Below are 12044 nucleotides of genomic sequence, written 5' to 3'. Positions count from 1 at the left end.
TGATAGAAATGCTAGAATTTCCTTCCTAAATTCAGCCTTTGAGGTAAGTTTGATTCAATGCTTATTTCATATGATTTCTAAAACAAAATAAGAAATCAAATTACTCATCAACAATATAAACCTATTACTCTTATGAAGGCAAATGCCAAACATCAAGATGAAATATTAGCAAATATAATACATGACTATCAGAAGAATAATGTCCTTTACCAAGAAAGGTATGGTACAGGAATGCAGATGGTTCAATATCAGGTAATAAATCATTATAACTTATTACACCATAACTTAAAGGAGAAAAATGATCATATTAGCAAATGCTGAATGGGAATTTCCTAAAAATTTAACAGTAATTCATAAGTTTTAGAAAGTTTAAATGAAATAGAAATAGAACTCAACCTTGTAAAGATGCTGAAGGCTATTAAAGAGCAATGGAAAATTAGTTAACTGAAAATCTTGACTTTATATAGTTGTCACATGTCAATGCTCAATGTAAATATTCTTCCTAATCCAGTTGTCCTTTAATTAGTAGCCAGGTTTGCTAACCAGGAGAGGCATTGGTATAAACATTCCAAACATTGGGTACTTTTATGAACTCTGTCACTCATTTTTAAAAGTTATTTTAAACTCAGTATTTCATTCTAGACACTAAATACTTGATCTTAGATAAATTATATCTTCATAACTAAATGAATATTTTTGCAAAGTAATATTTGCCACCAGGTAGAATATGTTAAGTGTTCTCCAGTAATTTTGGTATGCACTCCCATTCATTCATTAATTCCACAAACATTTATTGCTATGTGCCAGGCATTATTCCAACTGCCACAGATGTATGAGGTTGCAACATCTACAAACATGACTCTGTCAGATTACTTGTCTCTAGAATCTCAACTTAGAGGTAGACTCACACAGCACATAAACAATTTTAATGCAATAAAATAGTTGTTACGAGGGAAATAGAGAATTGGCAAAAGGTGTCCGGAAATATATCATAGAAGATAAAATTGTCAAGCTAAATCTCAAATGTTAAATTGTTGAGCTAAATCTCTAAATAGTAGTAGAGGAGGCAGCCAAAGGAAACACATTCTGGTTAAAAGAAACACTGTAATAAAAATTGAAAGTATGAAGAGCATTCAATTTCAGAAAACCGAGTAGTTTTTTTAGTTAGAACATAGATCAATAATGAGAGAATGGAACTAGATAATAAAAGGCCTTATATGATAACCTAAGAAGTTTCTACTTTACCTTTCTGTCAATTTGGAATTATAGAATACTTTTTAAATGGTGAATAACATGGTCATATTTGCACTTTAAACAGGCCCCTGACAGATGGGTTGAGGTTGGACAATGTATTAGTCTGTTCTCACATTGCTATAAAGAACTACCTGAGACTGGGTAATTTACAAAGACAAGAGGTTTAATCGGTTCATGATTCCACAGACTGTCAGGAAGCATGGCTGGGGAGGACTCAGGAAACTTACAATCGTGGCAGAAGGCAAAGGGGAAGTGAACACCTCTTACATGGTGGGAGCAGGAGGAAGAGAGAGAGAGTGAAGAGGGAAGTGCTACACACTTTCAAAGAACCAGATCTTGTGAGACCTTACTCACTATCACAAGAACAGCAAGAAGGAAATAAGCCCCCATGACCCAATCACGTCCCACCAGGTACCTCCCCAACACTGGGGATTAGAAATTCAACATGAGATTTGGGTGGAGACAGAAAGCCAAACCATATCATTCCTCCCCTATGCCTCCCAAATCTCATGTCCTTCTCACATTGCAAAATTCTATCATCCCTTCTAACAGTCCCCCAAGTCTTAACTCATTTCAGTGTTAACTCAAATGTCCAAGTCCAAAGTCTCATCTGAGACAAGGCAAGTCCCTTCCACCTCTGAGCCTGTAAAATCAAAAACAAATTACTTACTTCCAAGATACAATGGGGGTACAGGCACTGGCTAAATACTCCTATTCCAAAAAGGAGAAATCGGCCAACACAAAAAGGGCTACAGGTCCCACGCAAGTTTGAACTTCAGCAGGGCAGTTATTAAATCTTAAAGCTCCCAAATAATCTCCTTTGAATCCATATCTCACATCCAGGCCACACTGATGTGAGGGGTGGCCTCCCAAGGCCTTGGACAGCTTCAGCCCTGTGGTTCTGCAGGGTCCAGCCCCTGTAGCTGCTTTCATGGGCTGACATTGAGTACTTGTGGCTTTTCCAGTTACACAGTGAAACTCGTCAGTGGATTTACCATTCTGGGGTCTGGACGATGATGGCCCTCTTCTCACAACTCTAGTAGGCAGTGCCCCAGTGGGGACTCTATGTGGAGGCTCCAACCACACATTTCCTCTCTGCTCTGCCCTAGTAGAGATTCTCCATGAGGGTTCTACCCCTGCAGCAGACTTCTGAGTGGATATCCAGGCATTTCCATTCATCCTCTGAAATCTAGGCAGAAGCTCCCAACCCTCAGCTCTTGCCTTCTGCACACCTGTAGGCTCAACACCATGTGGAAGTTGCAAAGGCTTAGGGCTTGCACCCTCTGAAGTAACAACAAGAGCTGTACCTTTGTCCCTTTTAGCCGTGGCTGGAGCTGGAGCAGCTGCGGCCAAGATGCAGGGCTCCATGTCCTGAGGCTGCACAGAGCAGCAGGGCCCTAGGCCTTGTCCATGAAATGATTTTTCCCTCCTAGGCCTCCAGGCCTATGATGGGAGGGGCTGCCACAAAGGTCTCTGAAATACCCTGGAGACATTTTCCCCATTGTGTTACCTATTAACATTCAGCTCCTCTATACTTATGCAAATTCCTGCAGTGTTGAATTCCTCTCCAGAAAATGGGTTTTTCTTTTCTACCACATGGATGGGCTGAGAATTTTCTAAACTTTTATGCTCTGCTTCCCTTTTAAATATAAGTTTCAGTTTCAGATAATCTCTTTGTTCACATATATGAGCATATGCTGTTCGAAGCAACCAGGCCACATCTTGAATGCTTTGCTGCTTAGAAATTTCTTCCGCCAGATATCCCAAATCATCTCTCTCAAATTCAAAGTTCCACAGATCCTTAGAACAGGGGCACAATGCTGTCAGTAACTTGGCTAAAGTATAGTGAGAATGACCTTTATCCAGTTCCCATCTCCATCTGAAACCACCTCAGACTGGACTTCACTGCCCATATCACTATGGACATTTTGGTAACAACCATTTAACAAGTCCCACTTTCCCTCATCTTCCTGTCTTCTTCTGAGCCCTCCAAACAGTTCCAACCTCTGCCCGTTACTCAGCTCCAAAGTTGCTTCCACATTTTCAGTTATCTTTATAGCAATGTCCCACTTCTCTATTACCAATTTTCAGTATTGATCCATTCTGGGATTGCTATAAAGAACTACCTGAGACTGCATAATTTATAAAGAAAACAGATTTAATTGACTCAAGGTTTTGCAGGCTATACAGGATGCATGGCTGGAGAGGCCCCAGGAAACTTACAATTATGGTAGAAGGGAAACAGGAAGCAAACACATCTTATATGGCAGGAGCAGGAGAAAGAGAGAGAGTGAAGGGGGAAGTGCTACACAATTTCAAACAACCAGATCTTATGAAAACTCACTCACAATCACAAGAACAGCAAGGGGGAAATCCACCCCCATGATCCAATCACCTCTCCCCAGGTTTCTCTCCCAACATTGGGGATTATAATTCAACATGAGATTTGAGTGGGGACATAGAGCCAAACCATATCAGACAGAAAAAGGGTGAGAAAGGGGGCAAGAGAACAGTTTGCAAGTTACAGTCCAGGCCAGTTCTCAGAGTGGGGAATATAACCCAAGTGGCATACAAGGCCAGCCACTGAATGGGCAAGAAGAAATATTTGAACTTCTATTTGTATTTATATTTACTTTTAAACGTTTTGCATTTATCATTGTATAATTTTACAATGTATAAATGTTAATACAGTGGTGCATTTGTATAATTGATAAACAAATAAATCTATTTACCTATATCTCGACTGCAAGCTAAAAAGCAATACCTAATAAGGGAGTTTGATCAGTAACAGTTTAGAAGTCTCGGAATGATAGATAGAAATGAATAGATAGATGTAAAGGATTCTGAGGTAAAAACCAACAAAACTTGAAAATGTATTAGATTCAGATTAGATAGCTTAGAAATTTTTAATAGCATCATTGAAAACATTTTGGTCATTAAAACATGTCATTTCCTAATCGTAGTGTTTTCATAGCAGTTCAGACTTGAAAAGGACATAAAAGTTCATCTTGTTTTTATATTTGTTTTCCTCAGAATGGTTTGCAGCTTCATAATGAGATTTATTTTGAATTTCCAAAAGAATAAACAGCCCTAATCCATTATTGAAAATGGAATTACTTGGAATATATCATACAACATAGCAGTTTAGAATAATCTGCATGACATTAGTTCTACTTGTTCCTTAATAAGAGACAAGGTTTGTAAAATACTATAGTGTTTGTGGCTTCACATATTCCTTTATTCAGCTGTTTCTGTGCTACATTGTTAGTAGTGGGTAGCAAAACACTGTTGCAGAAGGCTTACATGGATGAATTCTAGTAGATGTGCCACGTTTTCTTTATCCAGTCTATTATTGATGGGCATTTGGGTTGGTTCCAAGTCTTTGCTATTGTGAACAGTGTTGCAATAAACATACATGTGCACGTATCTTTATAGTAGAATGATTTACAATCCTTTCGGTATATACCCAGTAATCAGATTGCTGGGTCAAATGATATTTCTGGTTCTAGATCCTTGAGGAATCGCACACTGTCTTCCACAATGGTTGAACTAATTTACATTCCCACCGACAGTGTAAAAGTGTTCCTATTTCTCCAAATCCTCTCCAGCATCTTCTGTTTCCTGACTGTTTAATGATTGCCATTCTAACTGGCGTTGATTTGTATTTCTCTAATGACCAGTATCACTTCAATTTATAAATAAGAACAAAGGATTGTGACTTTTAAACTCCTCCTTTGCTTTTCCTGATTATATTTAAGTTTATTTTTAGCTTCCTTTGCTTCAAAACTAAAATTTCCATACACTGTGAACCTAATTATGAATCTTTAAATTCTGAGTCCTAACTCATGTTTTACTGAGTTTTCTCTTCTTCACCCATCAGTCTGAATATTACCAGTGCAGAAGAATATTTTTCAGTCAGCAAAATAGTCTGCTAAACACTGCTATACCCCTTAATAGCCTAAAAGTGTTAATTGGGGCTTACAAAGACATTTGCAACAGTATTTGAGGCAGGAGAATCTGACCCAATAAGCAATATGCTGAGCTACTCTGATGGAAGTAGATGCACCCATTGGTTTATTGGCAGACTAAGCAAGTAACAAATATGCTCAGCCATCATTGTGTTTTCCATTTTACAAAGTAATATTATAATCTCTCAATTCATAAAGATAATTTGAGCAGATTATGTTTCCATTATCAACAGGGCAAATGTGTTGAGCTGGTTCTGGCACACTAACTAACAGAATGGCACCAATGGAAATCAACAGATGCAGAATTGGGAGATTAGAAGAATGATCAAATATCTGACCTTGCAAATATTTTTGAGTTGTTCTTAATTCCATGAATTATATTTGTAATTGGTCATATAAAAATCAGGTTAACAGCAAAGGGACAGTAAAGACTGTAGGAAACACTAACCTAGAAATAGATGTGCCTCCTGAAATAGATCAGGTGCTGCAGATACCAACTAAACTGAGTTGAGATCTATGAACTGGGTGAATTTAACCTAGAAGAATGTGGTGACATAATAGATGCAACCAAAGGGATATCAGGAACAGATGTTATTCTGATAGCCCAATAGGCAGGGGCCAATTGTTTCAGTCACCAGAGTACTGAGCCCATATCTGAACACTAGGGCCTAGCACAAACACAGGCCTTGCTTCTAGAGGAACAAGGATATTGTATGGGTTATTAAATAGGGGCTTGAACTGTGCAGTGAGCTGAGAAAGCCATACCAGGGTAGAAGTGGAGACTGGTTCCTATAATCAAGATAAATACTCAGTTGTCAGAAGCAAGATGATACATAAGGTAAGGCTGTCAACATAGTGCTCTTCAAATCCCTTCTGCTTAAGACCACAATTATTCCTAGAACCCTGAGTGGGTCAGAGCCTAAATATATAGAGGGCTATGAAGACTTGTATCAGAGAGCATTTGGCACCCAGTTGGCTTGAAGTCTGTCTTACAGAGGGTATAGTGATCATCACACACCCCTCTATCAGGAGTCTATAGGAGTCCAGTCTATAGGAGGTCCCATAAGCAAGACTCTGAACCTCTCTAATTCTGGGGCAAATTAGGGTCAGACTATTTTCATATATAAACACAGTACCTCATGTATGAGAGAGAAAACGGAATTGGAAAAACATATCATCTTATTTTTCTCAAGTTGCTGGGGATGAGCACTTCTTCCCTTTTCATTTTCCTGATTGAATTTTTTCTTATGTCTTCTACCACCTGCTACTTCTCATATTTGTTGGATTCCATGCTTGTTCTGCTCCGCCCTTCTTCCATTCTTCTATAACATCATCTCCCTATCACTGGGGAACTTGCCCTTAACAATGTGCTTCCAGTGGGGCTGTTGATCATAGTTCTCCATTTGCGCCCCACCCCAGTCTAACCCACCCTGGCCACAGACATGTGCATAGATGTATTCTCCTCTCTCCTTGGCTGTGAGAAATGGTACAAAATTGAGCACACTGAATAAGTGGGGCCGTTAGAATACTCCTTGGGTATTTTATGTCTGCTCTCTTAGGCTCCCCCTTACCTCTGAAGTGGCTAAGGTAAGATGACATAAGCCATGCGCCATCAAAAGCTATCCCCTCTTCCCCACTACATGGTAGAATCCCATCTACAGTAAAACAGTATAGGACAATCCTGACAGAGAAATGATGGGAGAGAGGGGTAGGAGAAGGAGTGGGACAGCATAAATGAATAAATAATAATAATGACCCCAAATCTTTAGAATCCCTGTGATAAGCTTTATACCGAGAGTCTCCACTTATGCAAGTCAATGGGTTATCTCATTCTGTTTACGCTGTGTTGAGTTGGGTTCTGTCACCTGAGGCTGGAAAGAGGCTGACTTAAACAGAGAAGTCACAATCAATGAGAACACTTGAAGGGGAAAATTAATCTTTCCCTCACATGGGACATACATTTCCAGTCTTCTACTGTGTTCATTTGTGTTTGTTGCTGAGTAGTTTAAGTCCCTCCCTCCCTCCATCCTTCCCCCCACTCCCTCCCCCTCCCTCCCTCTCTTCCTTGTTTCCTTCCTTCCACCTTTGCTTCCTTCCTCCCTTCCTTCCTCGTTTTTTTTTTCCACCAGAGTTGTTTCTTATCCATTTCCTTCTCTACCTGAAACTCTTCCAGAGTCTCACAAATGTTCTCCAGAGCAGTGCTTCTCAGACTCTCTGTGGTAAAGAATAAGATTTTTACATTTCCAATTCCTGCCAGATTGACATTTTTTCGAAAAGTATAAAAACTAATTACTAAATTGTGTGCTTGGATGTTGTAGCAATATCAAATTGCTATAAACGTTTCTAAACAACTCAAGTTTTCTTCCTATCTCAATATGAACAAGTAACACTTTGAGGACCAGCATCAGTCTGTGACCCGCACTTTGAGTCACACTAATATAAATAGCTGCTACAGTTCAAATGGGTTCTAATACTTCTGTTTTAATTTTCAGAATTTATTTCCAAGAAATGTGGGTTGTGTCAGAAACATTAGCACAATATGGAATAAAAACTAGCTTCTATTTCTGGTAGAACTGCTTCTTGTTCTGCCATTAGTAAGTAGTTTCCATTGTCTGATCTCTTAAAATAACTGGAATTTAGAAAATCCAATTTAGCCCAATTTTAACTAAAAAAAAGAAATAATTCTAGATTTTAAAACTTAGGAAATAATGTAAAGAAAGTATTAAATATAATAACACTCTCTCATCTCCTTATTACTTAGTGGAATTTCTATATAAAATGGCTTGTTTTGGCATATATAAATTGTTTTTGCTAATAAGGGGGTTCCACCAAATAAGTGGGTTTAAATTTCAGAAAACTCATGCACATATTTTTGTAAGTATACAAAAGCATCAGAAAATTGTCCTAACTTAAGAAAGCTTGGTATGACTAAGAATGTCTTAATCTTTTGAAAAATTGAAAAGAACTCAGAGAAATAAGAATGTTACTTTAGAGAATAGGAAAAATGATGGGTTTAGGGCATGTTTATACTTTTATTTTTATGCAATGAAAAATTGTTTTGCATAATTCTGAACCTGGCATGCCTCATAAAATGCATGCTTGATCTTTCTACTAGTATTCTAAAACCGAATGTTGTGGGCTTATTTCAAATATTGGTTTGCTTTTGAGAAATCAGTCTTTGTCACCAGGCAGACAGTATAAGAAAGGCAAGTAGAAACATACCAGAAAATTGCTCAATATAGCAGAGAAAGATTGGGAGTGAAAAGTACGTTCTTTTTTTTATTATTCTTCTTCTTTCAAATCAGTATTGGGTTTTCACCAAAATCCATTCAAGCGCTTGAGATGGACAAAGGGGGACAATCGATTTTTCTGGGGTTTACATATACTGATGTTACTGGAAGGGGAAGATTTTGCAAAAATTAAGCAATATATAAAGTTTAAAAATGTAAAATGTTAATTATAAGTGAAAGAGAAGGAAGATTATTGTGTGGGAACAAAACACTTGGGATCTATTTCAGTTTTCTCATGTACTCATAGCGAGTTTTCTGGTATTCTGAACTTTGTATGTGAGTTGGAGATGGGAAAATAAGGGAAATACTTTGTAAAAACATTTTAGACTTTTCATATACTTTATATTTCCAACATTCAATAGAATTTCTTCCAATCTACTTATTAATTTATCCCCTCAAAATATGGCTTGTTAGTGATCTTATATTTTAAAAATTCAGTCTCAAAGAAAAAACATATTAATTCAAACATAAACAAGTACAAAAGTCTGTGTACATATGCTGAACAATATATTCCTTCAATAGCCTGCATATGTCCCTTCAGGACCAATAAATGAACTTATGTCATTGGTTTGCTTCATAAAATACCTCATTTTACTAAGGTTTCTAAAACTAAAATTTGCAAGTTTATTTCAAATATCAACCTTGCCATTGAGAACTCCATCTGTGTCATCATACAGGTAGAATACCTCTGTGTTTAAATGGGTAATACATGCTCACTGCCCAACATCCAAAAGGTAAAAAGGTATCTCCAATGAAACTTCTGTTTCCCTCCCACTTCATTACCTAGCCACACAAGGACAGCTATTATTTCCAGTTTCATGTGTGTCTTTCCATGAATATTTTTATATTTCCTAACGAATTTATGCATATATCCGTTTCATCAGAAAGTAGAAAACTGTACAGGATATTCTATATTTTGTTTGATTTACTTGAAAACATATCTCAGACATCTGTCTTTATCCATATAGAGTATTGCTTCATTGTTTTTAATAGCTACATTGTTTTCTACCATAATTTATAGAATCTCTATTGAATGAATATAACTGTTAAAACAGGTCACTTCCAAACTAATTGAAAAGTATCTGATACGGAAAAGAGTACTGTATTAGTGTGTTCCTAACTATTCCTCCTAAGCCCAGGCAATTCCCTCTCCAATACATCCTCCATTCATCGCTATTAGATGACATCTTATTCTCAAGGTATTACTATCATGTTTCAAACTTGGACTTAAATCTGTACCAGAAGGCTGTATCCTGTAGCGGCAGAGAATCAAGAGATCTGGGTTTGCCCTGGCTCTCCCATTTACCAGATGTGTGATCTTAGGCAGGTTACTTACATTTCTAAGCCAGAATTCCCTCAAGTAGAAATTAAGGTTAATAATATTTTTTTCACAACATTGTTTGTGAAGATCGAATAACCTAATATATTCAATGTCTTTAGCCCAGTGCTTAATACATAATTAGTATCCACTAAAGTGGTAGCTCTTATTCCAAGAGACACTTAGATAATTATGCTTCAGCAGACCAAAGGGGTAAGAGACTCCTGGTCATTTGCCATGTGACAGCATTTCCTTTACTCTTAACCATATGGAATTGATTACTTTTCATCAGGAGAGGACGGTGTTGCAAAGCCTAGCCTATTCCATTTCTCGTGATAATTTATATATATGACAAGGTAAAGATAATAAATGCATGAGATGCTCTTTAATATTTATATCTTGCCCTATGTCAGGGAAATTTTCCATGCATGCTTCTTTGAAAGAAGCTCAAAAGAGGAAGGGAAATGTGGAATTATGTGTCATCCCTGCCAGTCACATCAGGTTACCTTGAGAGACAGAAGTCCCTATTTACAGAGCTTGCCTGTGGGTCAACCTCTCCTTGGCTGGCCCTCCTAAGATGGACAAGGGAGACATTGTAGAGGATGCCTTTAATTCTCCTTGGACATGGAAACAATTGTAATAAAGGCCTCATCACAGAAATCAGAGGAGCCACTGGAGGTGATACTTGACTGTTACCGAATGTTATATTGAATAGAAAATAAAGCAATCTGCAAAAGTGTCTTCTGTCTTCTTAGAGCATCTACTTAGAGCACTGAGCCTTTCACTCACAGTCTTATAAAAGCAATCTATTAATTAGTGAGAGATCTAGAAGGAAGAAAATATCACCCCTGACATTTAACTTACGAATTTCCCAAGGAGCCTCAAGGCTAACCTTCCCTCACAATACCCTAAAACTAGGGGGAATATTTTTGCCTTCATAGCTTTGTTCCTGCTCCACTCTGGATCTTCCTTCCTTCCTCTCATATCATCATATTGGGTTCCTTCAATGCCCTGCATGTGTTCTATCTTCTTTGCAATTATCTCTCTGACCACTGCATCATTTGCAGCTTTCCCTCTTCTGAACCCTCAGCAGTAATTCTTAGCCTTTTCTGCATCAATGTTGATACTGAGAATCTGACAAAAGCTATGAATAATCTTTTTATTCATCTATCCATCAATCAGTCTTGGAACTGAATATATACTTACGCAGAAAAACTAGCTTGGTGATCTGAGGATGTCCTAAATCTATCCTTGAAACCCTCAGGTTCTACAGCATTTGTCTCCAAATCAACCAACACAGCACAACCTTGTATTGTTATTTAGCTGATAAATACATCTGTTATCTTCATACTAGTTTAGTAAGTTCTTGAAGACATGGATAATAAGTTTTTAAATGTATTGGCATCATTTTTAGAGCTCTATAAATACTTCTTAAATACAGTTGCCTTCTAGGAGTTAGGAGTGTACCAGGAATAGCGATGAGTCATTGTGCAGTGATCCTCAAAACTGGCTGCCCATTAGAATCACCTAGAACGTTAAAAAAAAAAAAAAAAGAAAAAAAAGAAACAGAAAAACACTGATGCCAGGGCCATGACCCTCCTGAGAATTCTCATTTAATTGTTTCTGGGTACAGCCTTGGCCTAGTGATATTTTTTAAGGTCCCAGATTATTTTAACATGCACGAAAAGTTGAGAACAATTGGTGGGTGGCCGGTAGTGAAATTTTCAAAGTCAGATTTATCAGGTTTGAATCCCAACTCTTGTCCTCTAGCTGCATGGTCTTAACCAAGTTATTTTCTTGCTCTGAGGCTCACTTGTAAAGTTGCTGTGGGAGTTTGGCTTCAGGAGAGAATATTTCCCTGTAAACATTTTGGTGCAGCAATAATCTATGTGTAACTATGTTTTTCTCAGCTTCTGATAATACTATCTTTATTTTAGGATTACTGTAAATTTGAAAAAGTAAAAAAAGATATATTAAATATATATTTATTACATTAGAAAAAATGGTGAGCTCTGTTTCAATTGGCTGAGTAGTGCTGAAACCAGCTCAATTTTCCCACACAACTAATGTTTACGATTTTTTGGATAAATATAGAAATTGGCCCTCCCAATAATAAAGCTTGAAACTTACATTTGTCTTACCTGAGTTCCTTTGTCAGAAAACCAACTATCAGTCCTCTCAGATAGCATCAAGGGACTGAAATTCACCAGATCC

At 37.5% G+C, this 12044-nt stretch overlaps 1 protein-coding gene and 1 long non-coding RNA gene across 3 annotated transcripts in view; one reads left to right on the top strand and one right to left on the bottom strand.

Moving 5' to 3' along the window:
• Window positions 1-12044, bottom strand: part of NECAB1 (N-terminal EF-hand calcium binding protein 1) — a 167619-nt gene that overhangs the window by 87772 nt on the left and 67803 nt on the right. The gene's annotated exons all lie outside the window — the stretch shown is intronic.
• Window positions 1-12044, top strand: part of LOC105375634 (uncharacterized) — a 109088-nt gene that overhangs the window by 82365 nt on the left and 14679 nt on the right. The gene's annotated exons all lie outside the window — the stretch shown is intronic.

The sequence above is a fragment of the Homo sapiens genome, chromosome 8, assembly GCF_000001405.40.
Source record: "Homo sapiens chromosome 8, GRCh38.p14 Primary Assembly".
NCBI lineage: Eukaryota > Metazoa > Chordata > Mammalia > Primates > Hominidae > Homo > Homo sapiens.
This window is presented reverse-complemented; position numbering and strand designations above follow the sequence as displayed.